Genomic DNA, 26,670 nt, shown 5'->3' with positions numbered 1-26,670 from the left:
TTCTGGAAAGATTGAAGTAGCTGAGACACAGAGATGTGGTCATGAGTCAACACTTTCTAAAGATTCAGGGCACTCTGACATTTTGAGAATGACATGTTTGTTGTATGTTGTTTGTTCTCTTGTCAGTCCTTCCCTAGAGAAACTAAGGCCAAGTTTATTACTTTATAGGCACTACGGAGCCTGTACTCAATAGGTGCACAAAACAATAGTAGGTGTTATGTACATTTACATAACAATGATGTAATTACATGACAATTCCAAAACTAATAATAAGCCTTATGTTTTGTGAAAGCAAGTTTAAAGAAAAACATACACAGAAGGGAATTTTCAGACATATGACTCAGAAAGGTTTAAGATTTCTTTTTCAAAACGGTTGCAGAAGGGAATGGTAACTCACTGTGAAGTCCCAGATAAATCTAAGTGTCCATTTCTCCCCTAGATATTCAGATGGGTCCAAATAAGGAATACAACGTTTAAAGAAAATACTGGGATGCTAAAAAGGAAAAGTTTTGTCAAGTTTGGGGAATGTGGGTGAGAAGATCACAGATCACAGATGAGTATAAGAATGGAGTTAACCATCTTTTAGTTTTCACCAAAGGTATTTTTTTCCTTGTGCAACATGCAAATTTTAGGAGGAATTAAAGATTTTCCCTCACTGGTAAGAGGCAGACACTGAAGAGAGATCATGAAGACAAGAAGATTGTGGTTAATAGAAGAGCAAACAAATGGGAAATAGGACAGAAACTGGATGATACTTGGTGAGATTGCTGGGATAATGAACTTCTGAGGATACCCTATTGTGAGCAGTTTGAAGACTTAGGGAGAGGAGTTCATGAGCTGCCTCTCATATGGTGGAGACTGTATATGTGGAGGGAGAGAGTTCCACTCTAAAACCAGACAAAAGATTTTTCCCTACTCCCACTCGGACATTCTGGGAAAAAAATGATTATTTAGAAAGTGAATGAATTCAAACTATGTGCATTTCTCTAGGAATTTTCCTTCAAATAGAAGTCAACTTAGGCTACTACGTCCAGCCCACCTTTTTAATCCAAAGTGAAATGCCAAACTCAAGACCAAGAAGCATCAGAAGCAATATTAGGCCAACTGGTCAAGAGGTGCCATTATTAAAACTATTTATATTTGCCAAAAAAATCCATGTTTTTTTCACCTAGAAAAGCCAACTTCCCCCTCATTGGTTTCCTGCCCTGTCTTTACTTTTCCTCTTGCAAACATGCAAAATCCGTCTTCATCTTTTCCTCTTTCTCTTCTGGACGCCAAAGACACCATTTTAGCTTTGTTTTCTTGTTTCAAGAAAGCAGCCAAAGGCCAGAGAATAGTGTGTTTTATTTCATTTTGAAAAACAGACTCACACAGATTGATTCTTCAGGTCCCCCGACTTGGACCTGGCACAGGAAGAAGTCCAAACAACTCTGCATAGTTACATTAGTCGTTTTCTGGTGCTGCAGTCGCTGGATGCGGGTAGCAGTGAAACATTCCCAAGACAATCACTAAACATGCAGAATGCCAGCCAGAAGCATGAATCACTTTCAGGGGTCTTGCTGCAGGGAGCATGAGGTTGTATTCTGTGTGCATTGACAACTGTATAGGATAAGCCAGCTGTGTCCAAGGGAGCAAAGCACCCCATATTCTTCTGAACCTAAAGGGGTTTCCTCCTCAAAGAAGCATGTTTTCAATCCCTAAACTTTGGGGCCAGATACAGCTCCAAGTGGCATTTATTGCTCTTTGGAGAGTCAAAGCCAAGCCACCATGAGCACGAAAGCTGTCTGAGACCCTCCTCCCCTCCTCCCCAGCATGGAGAGAATAATTGCCATTTCACCCTACAAATCCGAAAGAGTCTCCCCCTTCCGTGGGTTTAAGCATGGACACAAGCCAAGCAAGCCTCAGATACCCAGGCCTGTTTGATTGTAGCTATGTTGGTGTATCTCGTGTACAAGATGGAAAAGTGCTTTTGTTGTTCTACCTGATCCAGTTGGGGGAGCAGGAATAGGGGGTGCCTGCCTAACGGCCTCTAGCCCATGTGCTTATACTGGGATCTGTCCCGAGGGATCTGCACCTGGTTGGCAGTCATTTTGTGGTGGACGTGGTAAATCGCGAGTGTTACCATGATGACGAGGCCCAAGATGAGCCCCAAAATCAGGGGCAAGGTTTCTTCCAGTTGCTCCCGCTCATCCACTGGGCATTTATGCTCTGCAATGGGAAAGAAGAAAAGCAGAGAGCTCTGGTCAAAACATCCTGAATCATAAGTTCTACAAAACAAAAAGGGAAATGGAGGTAAAAAGATTTCTCAAGGAAGCTTTGGGACTATTTTTCAGAAATAGTTTTCCCTAACCAACCCCTAGGTTAACACTTAATCGTTCTACATAATGCGTAATAAAAATACATCAATTAACTAGGACAACATGTAATTATTGGATTCCTGGCAGATGTCAACAAAACATCCAGATAACTTATTTAAATGTTCAGAGTTTCACCATTAGACACAATCATCATTGTTTTTATTGTTGATTCATTTTTAACTTTTTATTAAAGTAATATGTACACATAACGCATTATATAAAAATATGTAAGTTTCAAAAAGACTGAAAATACCAAGTGTTGGTGATGATGTGGAATGACAGGAACTTGTAACACCCTTGTTGAAAAATGTTATGACCACTCTGCAAAACTGTTCGATAATTTCTAATAAAGACAAACATACCCAGCATCCCATTCTTAGGCATTTACCCCAGGAAAATGAAAACATAGTCAACAGGAAAAGACTTGAACATAAATGTTCATAGCAGCTTTATTCATAATAGCCTAAAACTGGAAACAACCAAAATGTCCATCAAAATGGAATGGATAAATTGTGGCATATGTTCATATAATGGAACAGTAGTCAGTAATAAAAAGGAATGTACTATGGCTACACATAACAAAATGGGTGCATCTCAGAAATATTATGCTGACAGAAAATTGCCAGACACAAGGAGTGTATACATACTGTATGATTCCATTTATATGAAGTTCAAGAGCAGGTAAAACTAACTCTGTGGTGATAGAAGTCAGAATGTGCTTATATCTGGGGAAAGGAAAACAAGGGAACTTTCACCTGTGTTGGAAATATTGTAGATCTTGATCTAGGAGATGTTTACATGGTTGCAAATATAAGTACGAAAGCATTAAACCATACATTTTAGATTTGTTGATTACTTTGTTATTTTTTATTGATACACACTATTCATACATATTTATGGGACACGTGATATTTTGTTATGCGCATACACTTTAATGATCAAGTCAGGGAATTTAAGATATTCATCACCTCCAGAATTTATCATTTCTATGTGTAAACAATGTTTCAAGTCCTCACTTCTGGCTATTTTGAAATGTACAACACATGGTTGTTAACTATAGTCACCCTACTCTGCTATTGAATATTAGAACTTATTCTTATCTAACTATATGTTTGTACTCATTAACCAACCTCTCTTTAGTCCACTCTCCCCAACACAAACACACACACGCACACACACACACACACACACACACCCATATCCTTCCCAGCCTCTGGTATCTCTCTACCTCTCTGAGGTCAATCTATTGAGCTCCTACATGTGAGTGAATACATGCAATATTTGTCTTTCTGTATCTGGCTTATTTCACTTAATGCAATGTTCCAGTGCCATCCACATTGTAGCAAATGACACCATCTCACTCTTTTCAATGGCCAAATAGTATTCAATTATGTATATGCACCACATTTTCTTTATCCATACATCTGTTGATGGACACTTAGGTTGATTCTGTAACTTTGCTATTGTGAATAATGCTGGGATAAACATTAAGGGTGCATGTAATATATGTAAATTATGCTATAATTTTTAAGTAAGTGTAGAGCTTGATGAATTTTTACAAATGAACATCTCATGTAACCAGCATCTAGATCAAGAACACAAATGTTAGCAGCACCTCAGTGTTGATTTATTTTTCAGCCTCCTAAAATTCAAGATAGCTTCATAGTGCTGAGTCTCCATTTTTTTACATAGAACCACCATCAACAAAAAACTATTCTTGGGAGAACTTCTAGTGGTCAAACAGTTTGTCAGGCTAACCAGAATTATATTCCTAGAAACTAGAACAGGCTCATTTGCTTCTTGTGGGTAACTGGTGGCCTTTTAACCAAAATCAGGAGCCACAAGTGAAAAATAAACAAGCTTTACATGTCTCTTCATAAACACCAAGTTTTTTAAGTCCAGACGACCAAGTAAACATTTATTAAGTACCTACTGTATTCCAGTCTCCTCCAGAATCCCTATTGACATAGTCCCTTCTCTCACCTTGCCTGAGATCAGCAGAAATGAAAAGGGATGAGCTTTCCTCTCTAATAATAACAATTAGTGGAGACTTACTTTCACATATACAGCCTTTGATAGCTGTATACTTGACATTCTTAGTCCCTAAATTAACAATCAGTTCTAAGCACAAAGATTATCTGGTTAACAACCCTCTGAGGTACACAATATTATTATACTCATTTTACACATAAGGTAATCAAGTCATAACGATAATAAGTGGTTTGCCCAGGAGTAAATGAAGCCTGATCTGAACTCAAACAACTTAACACTATAGTTGGGGCAGCACTTAACAGACCTAAACTACTGGCATTAAAAGGCCACAGAATCCCAAGGTGGAGCAGAAAGGAGGATTTGTCAGTTCGGTTTCCTGATCTGCATGCTGGTTGCAGAGGTTCATCTAGCATCTGAAAATTCAATGAGCTGGATACTTATTACAAAGGGGAACAAGGAAGTTTTCCAGCATGATGGATATGTTGATTTCTTGATTGTGGTGATGGCTTCACAGGTGTATTCATAAGTTGATATTTACTAAATTACATGCTTAAATGCATACAATTGTACCTAAATACAACTGTTTTGTATGTGTGTGTATATATATATATATATATATATATATATATATATATATATACACACACACACATATGTATATGTATCTATATAATACACATATATATAATAGAAAAAGAAATTCTACTAGAAATAGCTTTTTTAAAAGATAGTTTGGCAAATGGTAGAGAAATGTTAAGGACTTATTAGGACTAAACTGAGCCTTTCTTCTTATTACAACCAAAAGTTTGAAAAAGAATTTTCAGGAAACTTTTCCCCCCACTATTTGATTCCATTCTAATGAGTCCCAACACTTTGAAGGTCAGCCTGGATCAATACATCCATTGCTCCAGGGACAGGACCTGAGATGACACAGTGTATCAGAAAGAGTGGCAGGCCTAGAACTTCATGATGCCAGCATGGCGGTCTTCTTCGCCAGTATGATACCATATTGCCTCTTTAAAGAGAACAATGAATAGAAATGGATCACGTGGGGTAGGAATTTTGTTAACAACAAAGGTTATTTATTTTCCTCATGATAACACTCTGTTGCCCATGTAATGTTAACACAGATTGCAGGGTTTGATTGGTTTGCAGGCGCTAGTGGCAACCTCATACAATTTTTTCTTACTTAATACAATACATTGAATAGAAACAAAGAATTTTTAAAAATTTTAAAATATTAAGAAGAAATACATTGATTTCAAATTATTTAGTAATAAGGCTAAGTCTGTGTTAAACAGTAAAAATAAAAAATAAATTATCTCACAAAAAGTAGCAAAGCCCTCAGGACCTTCAGACTCTCATCTATGCACCTTTCCAGGCTGCTACTTGAGTAGGCCCCAGGCATCTTTACAAGGTTGCCCTTGTGGCTCTAGCCTCTGTCTCTTCCCTTCTTAACTCTCTCCCCTGCAGAGCAATTTCATAGTTACCCAGACTGTAGACCATGGTTTTAGCTCACTTCTTCCTGCTTACACTCTAGTTACCCAGGCAAACAATCAGCCAGAAGCCCGAAATACAACATCTACCTTCCTAGGCAGAATGGGAGAGGCAATGGAGAAAGAGCTGTGTCTGGGAGCAAGAGCTTATGTAGCAAAATCACTGGAGAACATGGACAGGTGGTGTTCTGTGTGGCCCCAACTACAAGTATTCAGGACAGGGAGGGTGGGGAGTTAACAAAGCTTCAGGAGGAAGGGAGGTTGGAGTTGGATTGGGAAGAATCTGGGGATGGGGCACCAAACGACCTTGACCAATTTGTAAAGTCATGTCTTCTCTTTTCTCTTGTTTTATACCATAGCAATGAATAAACAGATATATAGTTAGATATAGCTGTAGAAATAGAGATATACATGAACTTTTAGTGGTCTCCATAGATCCAGATCATCACATCAAGAGGGAGTAGATGTAATGGAACATTGTGAGAGAAAGAGATGATAGTGGGCTCAGATCCCAGATCTTCCACTGTCCAACCCTGGGTGAATCTCTTAATCTACTAAGCTTCAGTTTCCTGTAAAATCGATATGACACCTAATTTACAGGGTTGCTGTGAGTATCCAACGTCATACTACAGAAGGCCAAGCACAGTGCCTGGCACAGAGTAGCTTTTCTGTCATTGTTCACTATAAAGATAGAAGTCTTATACATTTAAGTCTTCTGTGTACTTCTTTTAAATATGGGAGTCTTTGGAGCTCAAGTACCAAAAGTATTATTTCTAAATTGATAATAAAAAAGAATGTCTCACATCCCATTCTTTAAGAAAATTAGAGAAAAGATGATATAGTATGGTAAAGAAAGAGAAAGACAATATGCTTAGAATGCTATCATGATTTATTTCTCAGACGATTATCTTTTGTTGCTTTAGGAAAAAAAAATAGAATTAATCACACCACAGGAAAGGGCAATATAAAGAGGATATCAACTATGAAGATGTCAAAAAGTATCATAGCTACTACCAAATCCTGCACTTACCAACCCCTAATCAGTAAGTGGTCAAATAAAAAGGAATTCCTGAGCCCACTCTCTCATCCACTGTTTCAAAATCCACAAAGCTCTGAAAACCAAAAGTACTTTGTAATCACTTGTTTGGCAGCAAAACCTGACTTTGTCTAATGTGAGGCTGCTTGTAGTTTTCAGTCATCCTACTTAGTATGACGTTTCACATGTTTCACCGCAGGAAACAGATATATTAATATGTTTGATTGCATGGGGCTGCCCTGACTCTTCCATGGTCTTATGTAATATATAAATTGTGCACTGTATAGTCTTCCTAAAGTCTAAAATATTCTGAATTCTGAAAACCATCTAGCACCAAGGTTTTTTTTGTTTGTTTTTTTTTTTTTTTTTTTTTAGTTCGATCTGGGTTTTAGATGAGGGATTATGAACCCATAAAAGCAGGGCACGCTTTTCTCTTTCAGGCTTAAGACAGTGCTTTTAATCTCTGCCTATGACCCACGGGAAAAAAAAAAAAACAATATTTTACATGGCAGCTTAGAGCATATGTACATGCAGAGAACTAAAGCAGAAGTTTGACAAACAATAGTTATCCTTGCTTTATGCATCTAATAATTTATGCTCTATTCTATTCTGTTTCATTTAAAACAATGCTGCTCATGACCTACTAAGAAAAGGTTGTAATCTTTTTTGTGCAAGTATAATAAAACTAAGGACCCCTTCTCGGAATAATGTTTATGAATGAATAAAAAATAAAATACATACAATTACAAGGGAAAGTGAAATTCAGCCATCAAATATTTTTAAAAGAATTTCAGATACAGCAATATATGTATTTCCTTATTGGAACACATATATGTTGGCCATGATTATAAAGCAGTGAGAAGCATAAATGTTACTTTGCAAGATCTGCACAAACTAAAGTGAGATGAAAATACCTATGATTTCTATTGGTGACAGTCACGGGTACTGCTAATATTACTGTGGTCTGTCACCTTCATTTATAAACAAAGAAAATGCTAAATATTAATCAGAAGTTAGTGAAAATAAAGATATAAATTTTTTCCTCTGAATTCTATCTATAAACTATATATACCCCAGGGTAAAAATCTTGTATTGTAAACTGATTATGCAACCCACAGATTACAAAACAAGGAAGGCCTCTGACTTCCGCCAGGGAGAAGAGCATCTGTTGGCTTAGCCCGGACTACATCTGGCTTCAGACCTCCCTGAACCCCTGACTCCCTATCCACCTCCACAGGACTTAGGATCCCTCATGCCTTTGCTCTTGGTGGACTCAGGGCTCTAGAGTACACACAACAGGGTAAGTGGCTTGTGGCTGGAAGAGACAAAAACCAGCCTCATCATTGGAAAGAACCAGATGAAGACAAAACAAACAATAAATGCATAATCTGTTGCCAGCTGCCAGTTGCCAACAAAAGTCTCCTCAACTCTTAACCCAAGTGTACCCACTAAAATCATAATTTATCTTAGGTGCTGGTTGCTAGATATGTGTTTTATTTCATGACAGCATTTAAAAATTATATTGACTCCCTGAGATAAACTACAAGAGCGCTTCATTGCACCCCCAATGAATGGCATTGGGATAGGCAATGGGAAGCAGAGGCAAGCTCTCTGCTTCCTCAGGCTCTCCTAGCACCATGGACTGAAACTGTTTGAAGAGGTGGGCAAGCTTTCTGCTGGCTGTGCTTCTCCTGTTGTTTGGCAGGGCAAGATAGAGAAAGGGTTTGACGCTCTTTCCATATGTTCCCTGTGCTGGCCCTGGACTCCTATAACATCAGCAAAATATATTTTGTATACTGAGAAGCTGTTAAGATGAGTGGGCTTTGGAGACCTTTGACTGCAGACAAGCTGATACCCTCATCAAGATGTAAGCATTTGCTAGGCACAGTGGCATCACCACCCAGCTACTTGGGAGGCTGAAGTGGGAAGATTGCTTATGCCCAGGAGTTCAAGGCCAGCCTTGACTCCCATCTCAAAAAAAAAAAAAAAAAAAAAAGATTTAAGTATTAGAGAAGAAAAAAATTATAAGTGCAAGTATTGTTTGATGCCACTGTATGCCAGGAACATGACATGCATTGTATACACCCTATCCCACTAGACTGAAAGTTTCAGTGTGGCAGAAAATGTTCTTATATCCCAGTACCTAGGTGTAGTGGACACAGACACTGTCCATTCTTCTTTTGGCATTCACCAGTCCCATATATCCCAACAGGTTTTGACTACAAAGTAGGTCAGAAGTCCCAGGGAGTTAATGCTTCCACAGCGACCATCAGTGATAGATGGCATTTGGTGGGTAAACACTGGTTTGCTCACCCTCAGGTGAGATAATTCTGAGGCATATCTTATGCTCTCTCCAGAGGACAGTATCCGAAGCACAGAATTCTATGACTGGCTAACTCCATGGCCGAAGGCTGGGGCTCCATCTTGGAGTCCTCAACACAGTTCTCAGCTGTGTTCATAACAGATTATTTACCGTTGGCTGCTTACTCAGGAGGCCTTGAGGACCAACTATGTAGGGTGGCATGTTTCTTGACTGGGAAGTGCCAGGTAAGTCACAGGTCTACAAAACTCTCTGGATCAGCAAACCCTTCATGCATTTGTGACATGACAGCTTGCCACAGGACGCTCTACTGGGGGGCTGGTATATAGAGAAATGTCAGCCATGTTCATTTACACTAACACTAAAGTTCCCGCAGATCTGGGTAAAATACAGATTAAGTGGCGTCTCCCAATCATGATGCTAGGAACAATAATAAAAAGCTCATGAATTGGGGGTACCCAACAAACTCTGTAAATGCCTCTCACACTCACATGTTGATTACAGCTACTCAGCAGGAGCAGCTGTGGCCCTGAGATACTAAGGACAAAACCTCTGATACCCAAAGACAGGTTCTAGGAGGGAAGCCTTCACCAATTCGCTTCACCTCCCTGTGTCTCAGCTGCTCCACTGTAAATGGGGATCTCAGTATCTTTCTGCAGTTCTGTTTTGTTTCTTTTTGTTTTGTTTTGTTTTGTTATGTTTGCCCCTTGAGAGAGAATTAAAAAGGGACCAATCTATATGTGATGTCTTTTAAATGCCTGATAGACCTGAATCCTGAATAAAGGGAAATAGAGGTAGCCTTCCTATTCTATTATATTTTTTCTGACATAATACATAAAAGTTTCCTTTTACTCAAGGTATTAGAATACTCAGACTGGTTTGTTCCCTCCCAGCGACACATCCCCATTCCCATCTCAGCCAGAAATCACATGGGGCTCTCCAAGGGAATTGCAGGACTTTGAATGAGGCCCTCAGAAATTAATTGTGGAAGAACAAGGTAATCAGCCCCAAATGAGAAACAGAGTGTTTCAGATTGCAGGGGTGATAGCTTCTATTGCAGAGGTGATAGTTGCTGTACAAAGTGTATTTGGTAAATAAATGAGCCAAAGATGGCCTCTGTGTATTGGCCTCTAGGTGGTTTATTTCTTCACTGCAGGCTGAGACTGTTAGCTCAAAAGCCTGTTGGCACCAAACTCCCAAATCTTTACACATCCAATTATTTGTAAAATAGCTTAAACAAGAAAATTTGCAGCTGTATGGAGCCTGCCTGCTTTGCATACTCCTTGAAACCTCATGCAACAGCTGTTACCCATTGATAAGACAGGGCCTTGGAGTTCTAAGGCTCCAAGGCACTGCTGCCTCTAGAAGCTCTGGGACCCATGGACTCCTTGCTGTGCTGCTGAGCAGATGTCACCTGGACACATAAATCCCTCTCCAAAGCCCCTCTGCTTTGGGCATTCCCTTGTCCTCTTCCTTTTCTGAATGGTGGTCCCATAAGCTTCCCTCTGCACAGTCTCCTGCTGTGAGGGGCTTCCCTTCTCACAAATCCCTTTCCAACTGTCACCCAATGAAGCTTATTGTGCCTTTAATCCTTCAAACTCTCTATAGTGCTCCATGGGCCAGCAGTGTCACCTGAGACCTTGCTAGCAATGGAGCTTCTTGGGGCCCACTCCCAGACCTAAGTGAACCAACTCTGCGTGCTAACAATATCACCACAGTCATTGCACATTGAAGCTGAAGTTTCATGAGCTCATTGCTGGGCTAAGAGAGTTTTGTTTGGGGGTCAGTGTAGTAGTCAAGTACAATGCACTAAAGGGACTCATGTGATAAAGATGTCAACCTCCATTTGGGCTGCTCTCAGCCCTTGTGAGTGTCCACTTACCGACTTCGTGGACACTACCTTGATTTTCTCATAAGGCCTATTCAGTAGACAGGTGTGAAGAGTGCCAGGTATGACCCCCTTACACAGGGAATAGACTCTTCACAGGAAACCATTATGCTGTGCTTGACAATGGCCACGGTCCAAACACATGAACACACAAACACACACACACACACACACACACACACGAACACACGGACACACCCCTGCAGTAGGTGTGCAGATATATGACGTGATATTCCTTCTCCATGCAAGCATACTCCACTCACATGCACACACCGAAAGGCCCCTGAGCTTGTATTCTGGGGATAAAGGCCCAGTGATAGATCCCGAAAAGGCACCCAAAAGGAATCTTTAAAATTCCACCAAATTGAAAATAATGATCTCTTACAAAACAAAGTCGGGGCAGGTGCTGAGAGGAACAGAAGGGAGGAGCCAGGAACAAAAAAACGCAGCCACACAAAGGCACACTGATCCAGTGAGTGATTCTGAATGAGGCTTGCCACCTCCCAGGAATGTCAAGGCGTAAGCCTGGGGACACCATACAGGAGAGAACATCCTAATTATTAGCCATAAAAGCCTGGGGTGAGACAAGTGCCATTTGATTGTGACTTCTCTATTTGCATTTAGGAAGTTATATGTAGTTACAAACTCTCTATGTCTACCCAGCAGCCTTCCCTATCTAGGACCTTTAAGTGGATCAAAATTGGTTTTAAAACAAAAGACACCATTTACTCCATGCAATGAATTGTACTGATTTTTAGGAAAGTAGCTCTGCTCCTTATTCAGTACTTATTTATTCTTACTTTATACACCATTCTAAAAATCTATGAGGTTTGATTTCTCAGGCCATAGGCAACTATAAACAACGACTTAAAAATAACACAGAATGGTAAGGAGCTAGAAGAAGCAGCAATTATAGCACCAGTGGTAACAAGAAGTAAAGAAGCGCCTAGTAACAGCTAATCAGCAAAAACTAGAAAGTCATAAACTATTAAGAGTACCCATATAAACTCAAAAGCATTTATGGCAGGGTCCTGGGGACTAGGAACTGACATTACATAGTCCAATTATTTTCATAATAAATTCCTTGTCATCAATAATCATAAGAAGTCAAATTATACTTGATTATGCTTAATATTTTCAGTTTAAGAGAGACACTGACTGTTACATTTTGTAAATGCTTCCATAAACAAAAAGATTTTTAAAAACTGTTAAGGTCTCGACACAGTTTAGTAGCTTCAATTTTGTAGAAAATACATTAACATGGGATAGCCTATCCTTCCACCTGTCTTTTCTTAAAGACAATTTATCTTAGGACTTCTCAAATGCCTTCTCAATAATCAAGGTGGAAGGTGGTGCATTCTATTCTGGAATAGGTTGAGTGGAAGCTGCATTTTATGAAAGCTAGATGCCTTGGAAAATGATCATAGATGACAAAGGTGGAGATTCTCTAATATCCTGAACATTGGCATTGTTGTATTCACCTGGGGGTCTCCAACCCAAAGAAAGGCATAAACAAAGCAATCAAAATTTTTTCTGATTTTTTTTCCATGTAGAATAAACAGAATATAAAATTTAATAACCTCCTTTGTGAGGGAGAGAGAATAAATGATATGAATTCATTTATCCCACAATTGCCCAACGTGAATTGTTGCTTGACTTGAACAAATTGCAGAGGTTTTGACTCCCCTTGTGCCCTACCTCTGCAGGGGTGCTGAGATGAAAAGAATGTGTTTGACCTGAACCTGCCACAGCACAGCTGGGTCCCCTTTCAGAGGCTAAACAGACTGAGAGACAGCCTTGCTCCACACTCAGCAGAAGCAGCTGGCCTTAAACGGCTCAGCCTTCAGGTACCCTTCCCTCCCTGGAGCTTAAGGATATCCTCCTCACGAAGATGCTTGGTGGAAAGACTTGATGAGTCCATGATCTGTGCATACGCACCCACCCCCTCTGCCTTCTGGATGCACAGAAACTCGGACTCACAGCAGCAGAATCTTCAACTAGAAGTATCCGAGAGAACAAGAAGAAACGGGCCCAGAAAGGCAAAGGCCCTTTCCCCCATCTGTAGCTCTCTAGATTAACTAACGTCTTAAATACTTTAGCTGCTTTCTCCTTGGGAAGTTTGCATCAAAATTACAGTTTTTTCCAAAGTGACTTTTTAAATCTTTCTCCCTATGAAGGTTCATCTTTTGGCAAAGGAAAGAAGATGGGGAGAGAGGGAAAGATGAAATATAAGAAGGGAGGGAAGAAGGTAAAGAAAAGAAGAAGGAGGAAACAAAGGGAGACTGAGAAGAAAGGACTAAAGTGAAGGTAAACGGGGAGGAGGCTGGGAGGGAGAAAGAAAGAACTACTGAGATAAGTTCATACATTCAGCTTACTGCTTTTTTAGTCTTTGAAAATTATTAAAGAGGCAGGCAGTGTCATTTCAACCTAGAGGAAATCCAAGTGGTAACATCCTGGGGCCCTGGTAGGTCCCTCTCTCATCCTTCCTGAAATAAACTAGGTCTTCTTCCCCTCCATCCCCCAACAACTTACCTTCACTGAAGACAAAATCTGAGATAATGTCAAAAGGTTGGATGTGGACCGCAGACAGGATCATGGTGACCGTCTTCTGCGGATCACTAGAGGCCAGTGAAATGGTTTGTTGAGCTTGACACTCATAGGACTTCCCAGCGGGGGTGACCAAGGCAGAGAGGTGGTGCGAGTTGGCTGTGTGCTTCCCAGCTACAGCAAGAGCCCAGAGCAATAGTTAGAACCCTCATTGTTCCTAACCTAATGTGCCAGAGAGCTGGCTATTGCCTCTCAGTTCCAGACACCACACCCCTCCTGTCCTCTCTGTTCCCTTGCCAGGGCTAGGGCTCTACAAATGGCATCAAGTGGTGATGAAGGACAAACACACCCATTATCTTGAGAGCCAGGGCTCTTTCAATATTAATTTGGAACTCCTTTTTTGAAGAGGAGAATGATACTTAAAAACCCAACCCTTGTTACTGTATAAAACCTAGGCTGGGCATGGTGGATCCTGCCTGTAATCCCAAAACTTTCAGAGGTCAAGGTGGGAGGATCGTTTGAGCCCAAGATTTCTAGACCAGCCTGAGCAACATAGTGAGACTCTGTCTCTACAAATACACACACACACACATACATTTACAAAATTAGTCTGGCATGGTGACACATGCCTGTAGTCCCAGCTACTGGGGAAACTGGGGTGGGAGAATCTCTTGAGCCCAGTAGCTTACTCCAGGCTGTGGTGATCTATGGTGGTGCCACTGCCCTCCACCCTGGTGGACAGAGTGAGACCGCACTTCAAAAAAGAAAAAAAAAATCCCTAATAATGGAGATTCCAAAGACACAGAAGGAACAGTGACTTGGTTTTCCACATTTCACACGGGCCTGGCAAAGAATAAAACATCTTCCTCAACAAAGCCGGACAGATTGCTGGTCCTCTGGATGCTTGTCCTTACACACATACATCCCCTCTGAAGGTCTGCCTCCCATTGCTCTTTTTCTGACCTAAGTTTGATTTTTCCTTTTTCCTTTTTGGTCTAATTTAACTGGGGGACATCTTGCATCTAAACTTTGATGAAAAAGAAAAAATCCTCCTTTTACTGTGATAACAAAAAGGGGTGAAAAGGGAAAGATGACACATGTATTTTTATGTATTCAATAAAAATCCTTTCCCAACTCAGGTGCCTGGGTGATGAAGGGCCTCATTATGAGTGAAATAGACAACTTATAAAGAATAAAATAAATTTAAATGTGGTCTTTGACGGTGTCTGCAGATAGGAATATTGTTATTTGGGGGATGAACGCTCGTTTTGCCGAGGAGGATCTGGCTGAGTTGTCGGAGGGATGGGCCAGAAACGCTAGTAAATTATACATGGTGCAGAATCCACTGTCAGGTAGCTGCAGTCGATGACTGAATATCCCGTGCGAGCCATGCTGCCATGCGCAAAAAGACACTGAAGGCCATCACATCCTGACTGAAAAGGAAAGTCGCACTGCCCCCTTGCAGTTTTAGCGCATAAGAAACAAAACCAGGATGCGGAAGAAAATTAAAATGCAGCTTTGCCCTTCTCCGTGGTCCTTCAAAGGCCAAATCATAAGAGGTCGTTTTGAAGCACCAGGGAACGACAGGCCTTCAAGGGACTTCTTATCTAGGATCAGGCCACGGGTGACGTTTGGGTCCCCACGCCTGCGGTTCCTGGCGGATCTACAAGGCCTGAGACCCAGAAGACTCATGGGCGCTCCCGCCTCTTCCGCCCTAAAGAGCAAGCCGAGGGAAGACTTGGCCTGGGACCTCAAAGCGTGGGACGGTTTCCAAAACCTTGAGGAATTCTCTCTCCAAGCCTGTTCTGCGAGTTCCCAGGCTCCCTCCCCAGCCATGCCAGCCTCCACTCACCACTGACTGCGTCTTTGAAGTGGGTTTTCTCCGAGGAGTCGTAGACAAACTGCACTTTGCTCAGCCTCCAAGTCGCCTCAGGTCCCTTGGACATGTTGTGGCTTTCCTGTTGAGCCGGGGAGGTGCGCTTCAATCGTCCCCGCAGCGTCTGGGTTCTTAAACCTAGGGGCCGCCACTTCCCACACCCACGCGGAGCCTGCGGCCCCTCTGCCCGCTGGGCTCGGAGTTACCTTTACAAAGAGCATTTTGAGTGCATATGCGCGATCCACCCAGAACACTTGCAGCTCCGACTGGCTGTGGCCACAGCGGCCCTTCACCTCAGCTCCCCGGGTCAATGCGATATCGGCCTGTTCTGTGATCAGCTGGGAACACAGACGCCCCGCGCCCCCTCAGCTCGCCCGGCCCCGGGGCGGGGGCTGTAAAGGGCGGCGCGTCCAAACTCTGGGTTGCACGCTTGGGCGCTCCTTTGCGCGCGCGCATCCCAGGTTCCGGGAACATGCGGTTAGATGCTCTACGTGCAGCCCCGATAGGGAAGCGGAGAGAAGGGGGTTTACTTTCAAAGCAGGCAGGGGAACAGAAGGCATTACAAGCTGGAATCCCCATGCAGCATTCGGGAGCAGCCTGCCGGGGTGTGGGAAAGAAGGCGGGCAACCCAGGTCTTCGAAGAGCCTTGAGGAAGGGTGCCCTTCGCCCTGGAGCCCTAGGAGCAAGCTGAGGGGGGGGAAAGATTCCTTACATCTACGTAGTTGCTGGCCCACACATCATAAGGTACAATAAATTTGGCTGCAAACTCTGCCATGAGACACGTCGTCCCATTTTCCCGCACCACAAATATATCTTTTTCAGGGTTAGTGGAAAGGCCTGAGAGATTTTCCACTTCTTGTTCTGCCATGATTTGAGCCATTGTATCTGCGGAACAAACAAAACAATTCCATCAGTTCAGGGCTCAGCCCACGCGTCTCGGGCGCTAGGGTGGGGAGACAGTGCTCTGCAGGCTTTGGAGTGACAAAGTTCTCTGCCAGCAGCTGTGCGCTCTACGAGCCGTTTCTCTAACCCGGGTCTAACAAGCCTCATTCCTTCGCTGTTAATTTATAATGAAAATACAGTTAAAAAAATTAAAAATCCTGACTTTGTTTGTAATATAGCTGGCTGTTTTCTACATCTTGGGATTTTAAAGTAAATATTTCTTGCCAATGCTCTGACCTCACGAAGCTGGCCTGTCTAGGCTCTGTCTGGAATATGCCACAGAGGTGTATGGCTCTCAGGGGAATTCCCTGCCACCGGCGAGGAAGGCCCTCCCTCCTCCCCTAAAAGAAAAAAAGAAAAAACACCGCAAAACATTAAGGGCCATATTTTTTATCTCAAGCTAATTGACTTTACTTTGCCGGCTCTGTTCTCTGCAAAGAGTGCCCGTCCTCTCTCCCAGTCGCCAAATCGCTACTCACGGAACAACATCAGGAGAACTCGAAGTCTGTCGATGCTGGGGACCCCTCTTCCTTGGAGATCCATACTCGCAGTGCCCCGAATGAGGCCGGCTGTGCTGCTGCAGAGGCCGCCAGAGAGGGAATCCCTCAAAGTCGCCGCTGGAGTGGGCCGGGGTGAGCGAGAGGCGGGGGACAGAGAAGGGGGAGGGAGGGAGCGCGTATTCTGTGAGCGCCTAGCTAGGACTCGGTGTCGAGCGCGGCACCGACAGCTGCTGGCAGAGCAAATCGGCTCACTGCGGAGGAAAGGACCGCACGGCGGTCCACGGCTGCGAGTGCTGAAAGCAATCCGATTGTGTGGCAGGAGTGGCTGTGGCTTGGCTTGTGCGGAGGGCCAATGAGATCTGGGGGGACTAAACTTCTCCCTGGGTCTGTTTCCTGTTCTGCAACTGCATCCGCAAAGATGAGTCTGTTCTGAGAAACTTAATACCACCCTCAGCCTTATTAAATCTCCTTACCAGGTACAGTTATTAAGTGGTGTAGATACCTTATCACTGGAGTACTGTCTTCTGAAAACGCATCTGGTTCCCGAAAGAAAACGGTGGAGCAAAAATTGTTGCTGATTCGGGGGAGGAGGGCTATGCAGGAATAGAGAAGGGAAAATGCTATGGCAACAGTTTCCTGAATTTGGAGACATCCCCTTCTCTCCCCTGCTCTCAATGAGCTCATGGGTTTAAAGTTAAATTGACGCCTCCTCGAACGAGGCCATCAGACAATGCAGTAGCTCCATGTGGGCTTATTTTCCTGTGAATTTTGCTCCCGGGTGCATGAGGACTCTGAACTCTGGGGTCACCTACCCTCCCGCATTATACTGTGACCACTCTGCCAAAAAGGGATGCAAGCAAATCAGAAGTTTTTGAGAGTTATCTAGTGTCTCCTAGGACAGAAATTTTAGAATTATGCCCTAAGTAATGTCACATAGTTATGTAAGAAAAACACACACTGATATTACTCTAAAGCCTGTAGTGGAACAGAAGAACAAATACTACTGGGCTAATTCCTGTATTTACATATTTGGTAGCTTGCTTATTTTTTATTTTTGCTCTGTAAATCAGAATACAGCTTTCAAAAATACACATGCAGTCCTCATCAATTGTAGTGATGTCCAAATATTTTATTCCTTAGAAGATATTTCATAATGCAAATAAATGTTGCATCAGTAATATAATGTTATAAAACAATGTCATATTAAAGGGAAAATTGCAAAGTATTTCACCTGCATTATCTAATTTGATTCTCCCCAATCTTAGAGGGTAGGCAAGGAAAGATATGAGTTACTGTGGTTTTACATACCCCAAAACTGAGGCTCAAATAAATTAAATGACCTTCCCAAATGTCACATGGTCAGTTAGAATTAAAATACAAAAATCACATGCTTTAACTCTGTGAGATTATCTTCATTTCTCCTTATATAATATTTTTACTCCATATTTTGACTTCCATAAAAATCTATATTCAATATCAAATAATAATCTGAAATCTGAAATCTCTATCATTAATTCACATTCTTCAAATTTATAGAATGCTGTTTTAAGTATAATCACATTCTGACATATCTGCCACAAAGTATCTATATAATGTTTTTGGCTTTCAAACATATTCCTATATCAATCATTAGATCACTAGCAATTCAAAGTATAAAGTAATATTAAAATTGACATTATATTTTGACATCTTGACTTTTATGTTTGTAGTTCAGTATTTCATCCAAACATTTCTCAAGAACTTTACAAAGATGATTATATATAGAAGAATTGATGCAAATTTTACAGAACTTAACAGAAATGATTTTATACAGAAGATTGATAAAACGTCAGTTCTCATCAGTTGAAAGTGGAAGAGATAACATTTGTATGTGTTACATTTTTTCATGTTAGCAATTATTATTAAACACTTATTTTCCTGTAGTACTGTAAAACTGGAAAACAATGAGACATGTAATAAAGTATTTATTCTCTCTCTCTCTCTCTCTCTCCAGTATTTTATGAGGACAGAAATGAGTAGATTTCAGTCCAGGATTCACTACTTATTATTTTTGTGACCTTCTGAAGATTTTATTTGTTCTCATCTGAAAAATTGGGAAAATAACTCAGGGGATGGCTAGTTAAACCAAATGGGCCAATGAGTATAAATAAACAAAGTACAAATAGATCCATAAACATTAACCGAATACTTACTACTTCCAGTATGCTTGATGCTTTGAAAACCAAAAGATATTTATCATTACACAAGTAGGAGAGACACCTATAAAAGATTTTGACAATTTCTCTTGCAGTATGTTATTGCAGATATCTTCACTATATAAGTTGTTAAAAGATCAACTGAATTAATTCATGATTATCTGCCTTAATAATAAAAGATTAGGTGAGTAGTAGCATTGGTCATTGATCTTAAAATGTAGTAGTTGATTTACAAATGAGATGGTTGTTCCTTTGAAAATTATACCTGATATAAATGATCTCTTTGTTGACACTGGAGAGTGTACCCTAGAGTACTCAAATGGGTTGAAAGAAGAAAGAAAGCAATTTTAACTCTTTTTTTCTGGGGGGATTATTTTCAAAGCACAATCAGTTTAATGACTTTTTTAATATTTAATCTTAAACATGGCTAACAAATGCCCATTAATTTATCATCTTATCCACTGTGATACATTGCAATAGGAGTTAGGTCATTATACCTACAACTTTCACCTACATTAATTAAATATCTTTCTAATCATTCTGGAAAAAAACTCTTTGGTTCTCTAAAATAAGCAAAGAAGTGATCAAGGAGCAAAATTTGCCATTAAATTGCATTTTAATATATTAACAATGTTCCCCAGAATTTGCTCTACTTTTCATTTCTCAAGTCTAAAAGATGGTAGGAGAAATTGACATAAATATGTACACCTGTGTGGGTGGTAACTGTGTCAATTTTTATTATTGCTGCTGGTGGTCAGTAGAAACTGTTAGGGTGCAGTGTGACCTAAACACACTGGATTTGGGATCTCCTCTAGATCTTCTAGGTCCTTCAAAGGCTGTTTTTCAATTCATATGGATACTTACTGAATTAGCCTTTATGAATCTCATGCCATTGAGTGGTTGCTGTTTTATAAAAGGGCAAGAAGAGGCCCTTGCATAGAACTTTCAATTTGGATGAGAAGAATTTACATAAAGATTCCAGTTAGCCTAGCACAGTGTCTGCATAAATGTTCAGGGGGAAAAAAAAGTAAGACAGGCATCCCAGGTGGGAGAGTGGTTGAAATTGATGAAAAAAGGTCTCTTGGAGAAGGTGAGTCTTGAAAGAAGTTGACAAACTGATGTAGGGTGGAAGGAAGGATACGGATGGAAGAAATATCTATTGAATAGGGAATCAATGCAAAGATGTAACTCTTCATCCATCCATATTTATCCATTTGCAATAAAAAGCAAATTAGGCCGTAAATCAACAATGCCTTATGTACTATAGAACCCCTATTTCATTTCCGTATTTGATAATTTACCCACATATGGCATATGCAAAAGAATGGCCTATGCAAAATTTATTCTAAATAAAATTAAACTTTTTAAGTTGTTAGGGGCATCTTTTCATACTTGGTTGTGCAAGCAATTGACTTGTATTTGTAGAATCAAGAAACAAAACTATGAAAATTAGTGAACAATACTAATAAGAAAAGCGTATTTATAGCTTCAAAAGGAAAAGGCTGGGCTTTGTTGCAGCTGAAATTTGGTTTATTGAGGTTTCAGTTCACTTTACAGTAAAGTGTAAAAATGTACTCCTTGCTCTGTTGTTCCCACAGCCACCAAGCCATCCCTCTGCAACCCACACACAGACAACGGACGCACACCCGAATAACAGAAGCAGAAATAATTTAAACAAACAAGATGCATGCAGCTGTTAAGCCAGACTTTCTACTCACCAAAACTTTTCTTGTGTTCAGCTTATCATAGAACAATTAATTCATTTAGTCATTGCCTTCAAAGACCTTCGCAACCCTTTCTAGGATCTAAACTCTTGTGGGACAGAAACTGAAAAATAAATGTATGCACAAGAATTATTTTTCAGTTTCTATCCCACAAGGGTTTAGATCCAGAGCAAAGAGTACAAAAATAAGTGTGCGCATGAGCAATGTATGCACAAGAATATTTCGCACATACATTGCTAAGCCCTAGAATATTTGGAAAGAATCAGAAAATTGAGTTTAGGCTCCAATGCACTCAGTCTGCATGCCCTTGGTGTAATTTTCCTCATCCTAGTGCTTCTTTGGTGTCTCCTGCATCTACTCTAATGAAACAATGGTTATTTCTGCAATAACGGTAACCAGTGGAGGAAACAAACCACCAGAATAACGGCCTTTTTATTGGCTATGTTCACACTAAGTCCTGAAAAAAATACCATTTATGAGTTCATTTAGAAGAATTGCCTTCAGCATGGGGCAATATAGAGAACTGCATCCTTATAGCAAACCCTAAATAAGTAAATGGTGAGGGGCCAGGTAATCATTCCTCAAAATTTCAGTAGCAAATAAATCATTTTTGTCTTTTGAATCCGTGATTAGTTAACTGTTCTGGTCAGTCTTACATTTTTGGTCAGTGATACACAACTCACTCTGCTATCTCGGGAGGGAGGAAAACCTTGTTAACTTCTGGGCAGGGCACCTTTCTGTAAGGTTGAATTAAAACTCATTTGAGGATTTTAAAAAATCTTTAATGAGTCTGTTCTCCAAGAAATGACATCTGTCACAATAGGCCTAAGGTTAGACTAGCTGTGTCTCATTTAACATATTTTGCTACCTGAATTCTGTGATAATGCAGTACCCTCAAAATCTCTGAGATGGCACAGGAGTCCATTGTTCCCTTGGTTACTACTCTCTCTCTCTCTCTGTTTTTTTTTTGTTTTGTTTTGTTTTGTTTTTTTTTGAGAGTCTCACTCTGTCGCCCAGGCTAGAGTGCAGCGGTGCAATCTTCGCTCACTGCAACATCTGCCTCCTGGATTCAAGCTATTCTCCTGCCTCAGCCTCCTGAGTAGCTGGAACTACAGGCATTTGCCACCATGCCCGGCTAATTTTTTGTATTTTTAGTAGAGACAGGGTTTCACTATTTTGGCCAGGCTGGTCTCGAACTCCTGACCTCGTGATCCGCCTGCCTCGGCCTCCCAAAGTGCTGGGATTACAGGTGTAAGCCACTGTGACCGGCAAATTACTCTTTTAATTGTCTATCTGAAGTTATCTGCATATTAACTTGAAGATGTGTTTGGAACTAAGGAAAATTTATATTAATGGCCTTTGGGAAGGAGGGTGAGAGTGGAGCCCAGAGCCCACTGTCTCCTATTGAAGCTTTGCTTGCATTGTAGCTGGAGTCCTGGAATTCCCTGGGGTGCTCTGATGTTGTAAGTTTAGGACTTTGTTTTTTCTCTCTCTCTCGTTGTAAAAGCATAGCAAGATGTTTTAGTAACAAGGTAGTGGGAAAGGGAGAGTGTATTGGAAAGGCAAATGGGATGGGAGTATAAGAAGCGATATGTTAGTTATGACTTTATTACTCTAGTAGCGACAACATGTGGAAGGAGTGGCTTCAATTCTCTGGTCTTCGACATAGCTTTCCTAAAGGATACCTCCAGAACTACATGCCCCAAGTCTGAGTGATCTGAGTAGGGAAGTAATCTGAGCAATATCCTTTGGCTGATGGGGGGTGGGGTGCTCGGAATTTCATTATTAACATGTAATATCTGAACGTGCAGGAAGTGTGCGCTGCTCAGGACACATGGCCCGTGGTCTGTGGTGTTACCTTTGGATGGCGCGGCGGTAGGTGGGCCTGGTTGCTCATGGCTCAGTATCCCTGGGCTGGCCCGCGCGCCCGCTGCGGACTCCAGACTTGACGGCTTCTGCCCGCGGGAAGGAAGATGCATTCTACTGTTGGGCGCCTCGCTGCCTGCACCTCTGGCTCGCGATGTCCTCAACCTGGGAAAGACGTCGGCGCTTTGCACCCGAGTTGGGCTCCTTGGCACATTCGAGCAGCTGCTCTGGGTATAGCGATGGGTGATAAAAGTCATGCCTACTTGCAACGGCTAGGTCCAAACCCGCTCCAAAGCTCAGGGAGAGAGGTCAGCCCCGGGGCTGGAGTTGAGTACGTTCAGGCCATGGCGACAGGAACCACGGGGTCTTTAGTGTTGGGGTACCTGGAAGAGTTACACATGTCACAAGAGTCCATTGTTCCCTTAGTTAGTTACTGTTTTTACTTGTCTATCTGACAATTTTAAAGGGCGACGAAAGTTCCTGGTAGCGTGGCTCCTCTGAGACTTTCTTTGAAGTTCTTATGCCCCGGGAAGCCTCTGCCGACCTTGCTCTGGGGCGGGGAGGATGGGCGACGAGACAGACCCTGGCGATCACTGGCCGCGGGCTTCTCGGGTCCCTCCCCTGTCCAGAGAAAAGCCTGGAGACTAGTAGGGGAGGCAGGGTATTAAACCGAGGAGAGGGAGGAGACCAGGTTACAGAGGCTTCGCTTCTTTTTCTTTTTCTTTTCTAAACCGCCAGCACAGTATCCGTGCCCAGGGAAATTCCCCCGAAGAGCCCCAACGATCTAGCCTCCAGGTAAAATGGGGAGGATGCTGCGTTCCAGGGCCAGGGGCGCGCGGCCTCGCTGCAGTTTGGTCCTGGGACAACCCCAGGACCTGTAAGAGATTTTCCAAACAGAAAATAGATTCTGCTTAGAGGAGATCGAAGCAGAGACTGCCAACCAGGCGGGCTCCGAGGGCGCGCAGGCAGTCCAGGCGGTTACCCAGAGGAAGCGGTGTTTGTGCGCGGGGCTGGCGCCAGCCCTGGAGACAAGTGGGTTCGGGCCCTAGGACCAGGAGAGAAGGTGGACTCATTCATTGGTGTTCCCTCTGTAGGGTCCCTATTCGCTAAGCTAAGCTCCATGCCCAGAGAGGCGGGAATGAAATTCACACCTCCTCCTACCTCCAACGCCTCAGGGCGCCCAAAGCTGCTGGAGGCTCTGGGCTATGTCAGGGCTTTTTTTCTGCTGTCCCCTCATTCCCCAATCTGGGCATGAGGGCGCGGGAGAAGGGACTTCACCCTAGATCGGAACTGGAGGAAAAATCCAGTCTTCCACCTTAACGGGAGACAAACCGCAGGCTCGCCTCCCCTCGGAAGGTCTCCACCGCTAAGGCTGCTTGGGAGCCCCGGTGCGCACCGCCCCCTGTCCCGGTCCAGCCCGCCAGGTGCGCTGCCCGACGCCGCAGGCGGGATGTAAGATCCCGTGTCTGGCTGCGCTCAAGGGTGGCCTGTCCCCGGCCTCTCTCCCCTGGTCCAGTGAGGGCCATATACGAACTCTGGGAGGCCCCACACCTGATAAAAGCCCTGGGGATTTTTTCAACAGTCCCTCAAAATAAGGGTGTGAAAATATCCCATTCGGTTATTTTTTTCTCCATGGTGACCATTAGGTTTGTTTCAACTTAAAAGCAGATTTGGGGGTGCCCCAGCCTTGCCCCTGCTTGTGAGATCCCCCAGGCCTCTGCTGTCCACCAGAGGTGTCCCCTGGCCTAGCAACCCCGCGTGGGCACCTACCCCCGCAGGCCCCAGGCCCAAATCTATTTCTTCCCCAGGATTATCTAATTCTCCGGGGCCAATGTTTTTCTTCTTCTTCAGAGAAACAGCAGGATCTACGGAAGTTTGTACCCACCGCCTCGCCTGCAGCCTCGGGAGTCTCAACCCAAGCCGGCCCGGCCTTGTAGCCCAGAGCAGCAAAGCCACAGCAGGCAACGCGAGCTAACGCGGGTCGCGCGGAGGTCGGGAGCCCAGGCGGCGGAGGCGGCGGCGGCGCAGTTATTCCCGGGTGACTCTGGGGACTCGTGCAGATGGGGGACGCCTCCGGCCACGCACTTGGAGCCAGCTGCAGCTCCCGGGAGCCTGGCACTGATGGATCGTCTCATTTCCCAACTTGATGGGCCGGAACCTGGGATAGCTGTGCCTGCAGGGAGAGGGTGGGCTCAGGGACCGAGGGATGGGTGGCCCTAGGTGCTGGATTTTGGTTAGGGAAGGATACATTTCTCAGAGAAAAAAACCTGAATTTCCCCTTAACGCGAGGTTATGATCCGTTTTTCCACTTCACGGTCTGAGCACTGGCGCCACGCCCGTTTTCGCCAGGGACCGCGGGCCCTGAGTAAGTGGCAGTTCCCGGGGGCGCCTGGGGCCTCTGAGTCCGCCCGCACCGCGCCACGTGGCATCTTTTCCCACCGGACGCTGCGGAAGCAAAGGACTCGCCCTTCTATTTCCCGGAAAGAGCCCTGGGGGCATGCGGGCAGCAAAAACCCTCCTTCCATTCCGGGTCCACCTAAAGTCCGCATCTCCCCGTGGAATGGGAACTTGGGAACTTGGGCTCTGGTCCAGTGCTCGCTCCGAACCTCCGGGCACTGCGAAGCCAAGGGCCAACCCCGTGCCACGCCAACCAGTTTGGAGGAAGGAGGCAGAACTGGTATTGAAAGTCGGGGCAGTGGTGAGGGAGGGTTGTAGAAGGGTGAGGGAGAAATGCGCATCAAAATGCTTGAATTCCTTCTGTCTGACCCTCCAGCAAGACGAAGAAAGTCGTGCATCCCCTGGGAGGGAGAGGCTGCTTGTCCCTGTCCTGACACCCCACCCCATGGCTCAGGCTGGAGTCAGAGGGAATGAGAAGAGTGGGAAGCCAGAGGCTGAGCTTGGGTGAGAGGAGAGCAGACGAACTGGAGAAGGGTGGTGTTGCGGCGATTCCTGCCTCTGGGCAGTAACCATGAGTTTTTTCCTTTCAGCTTCCTAGAATCTTCCTCCATCTCAAGAAGTGGAACTCCAACTCCGCTCCAAGGCCTACCTCCTTAGCTGGGTCTTGGAGATCACTGAACGGATCTCAAACCTGGGATCTTAAAGAATCCCAAATCTGGGTGCACCTCAGCAGAATACGTTCTCCCAGACCAGTCTGTCAGGAAAGCCCCAGCTCTCTAGCTGGCCAGGAAACACCACATGGTTCGGGACATCTGACAAAGTGCCGTCCAAAATCCAAAGTGTGGTTCTGAGACCAGTAGCATCACTGTCCCTTGGAGACTGCAGGATTGCAGGCCTCATCCAGCCCTACTGCATCGGAACGTGCATCTGAGAGATATCCAAGGACTGTGTACAGTCTGGTTGGAGAAGCCCTTGCCCAATTTACAGAACCTGAGTTTAGCCATTGACAACCTGTTCAACCCTGTTCCTCCCAGCCTCCTCTTCATCACCTGTCAAGTGGGAGCTGTTTTGGAGGTCCTGGGGGGCTCTTATGCACTCCTGAGTGCATTCAGACCAATGGAATCAGAATCTCTGGTTTGCTGGAGCCTAGGCAGGAGTGTGTGTTTTGGGTGTCTCCAGGTGATTTTAATGGCAGCCAGGAATGACTAGTGTAGAAATACCCACTTTACAGATTAGTTAGATTAGCTAATCTGTCTAGCCTGGGCAAGACAATATGTGCAGTGTTAAGCCCACTGCTCTCTGTAGCCTGATTCATTCTGTAGCCTGACATTCTGTAGCCTGAGTCATTCTGACTCCAGCAAGTATGGCCTTGAACCATACTTAATTAGCCAAGTATGGCTAATCAGCTTCGCTGTGCCTCGGTTTCCTTACCCACAAAATGAAGTTGATAATAGTGCCCACCACAAAGGGTGTTTGTGAGGATTTAGAATCAAATGTTTAAAATCAAATTCAATAAATATTAGTTTATGAGGTC

At 43.3% G+C, this 26,670-nt stretch overlaps 1 protein-coding gene and 1 long non-coding RNA gene across 3 annotated transcripts, besides 3 other annotated features; one reads left to right on the top strand and one right to left on the bottom strand.

The window, feature by feature from the left end:
- Positions 1-1,325: 1,325 nt before the first annotated feature.
- LAMP5 (lysosomal associated membrane protein family member 5) lies at positions 1,326-17,260 on the bottom strand. 2 transcript variants are annotated; one of them, NM_012261.4, is made up of 6 exons: positions 16,934-17,260; positions 16,225-16,397; positions 15,719-15,850; positions 15,489-15,594; positions 13,622-13,810; positions 1,326-2,208 (listed from the first exon to the last, which is right to left on the bottom strand). In NM_012261.4, exons 1-6 carry the CDS (start codon positions 16,995-16,997, stop codon positions 2,030-2,032), a joined length of 843 nt encoding a protein of 280 aa, NP_036393.1. In that variant the 5' UTR covers positions 16,998-17,260; the 3' UTR covers positions 1,326-2,029. The 2 variants fall into 2 exon arrangements, with proteins under 2 accessions (NP_036393.1, NP_001186826.1); NM_001199897.2 differs by lacking the exon at positions 15,719-15,850.
- Positions 12,491-13,197: an enhancer, noted in NCBI's record as "OCT4-NANOG hESC enhancer chr20:9499300-9500006 (GRCh37/hg19 assembly coordinates)". NCBI's record gives its function as "activates a minimal SCP1, AML or CMV promoter by ChIP-STARR-seq in naive H9 embryonic stem cells {active_cell/tissue: H9 hESC(naive)}" and the evidence as "EXISTENCE:reporter gene assay evidence [ECO:0000049][PMID:30033119]".
- Positions 15,741-16,325: an enhancer, noted in NCBI's record as "H3K4me1 hESC enhancer chr20:9496172-9496756 (GRCh37/hg19 assembly coordinates)". NCBI's record gives its function as "activates a minimal SCP1, AML or CMV promoter by ChIP-STARR-seq in naive H9 embryonic stem cells {active_cell/tissue: H9 hESC(naive)}" and the evidence as "EXISTENCE:reporter gene assay evidence [ECO:0000049][PMID:30033119]".
- On the top strand, positions 16,852-26,670 carry LAMP5-AS1 (LAMP5 antisense RNA 1). Its single transcript, NR_109957.1, has 5 exons — positions 16,852-17,086; positions 22,685-22,970; positions 24,591-24,925; positions 25,513-25,640; positions 25,727-26,670. It is a non-coding gene; the product is annotated as an LAMP5 antisense RNA 1 (long non-coding RNA).
- Positions 20,644-20,693: an enhancer, noted in NCBI's record as "active region_17537". NCBI's record gives its function as "activates an Ori minimal core promoter by ATAC-STARR-seq in GM12878 lymphoblastoid cells {active_cell/tissue: GM12878}" and the evidence as "EXISTENCE:reporter gene assay evidence [ECO:0000049][PMID:35858748]".

This window comes from Homo sapiens, chromosome 20, assembly GCF_000001405.40.
Source record: "Homo sapiens chromosome 20, GRCh38.p14 Primary Assembly".
Lineage (NCBI taxonomy): Eukaryota > Metazoa > Chordata > Mammalia > Primates > Hominidae > Homo > Homo sapiens.
Note: the sequence above shows the minus strand (reverse complement) of the source record. Positions and strands in the feature narration are given on the sequence as shown.

Bases quoted from the DNA above. Each gene is read 5' to 3' on its own strand.
- LAMP5 (NM_012261.4), bottom strand. From the start codon at position 16,997: ATGGATCTCCAAGGAAGAGGGGTCCCCAGCATCGACAGACTTCGAGTT. The intron at 16,398-16,933 runs GTGAGTAGCGAT...TTTGTTCCGCAG, and splicing joins AGTTCTCCTGATGTTGTTCC to ATACAATGGCTCAAATCATG. The intron at 15,595-15,718 runs GTAACTCCGAGC...CCGGCTCAACAG, and splicing joins TCAAAATGCTCTTTGTAAAG to GAAAGCCACAACATGTCCAA.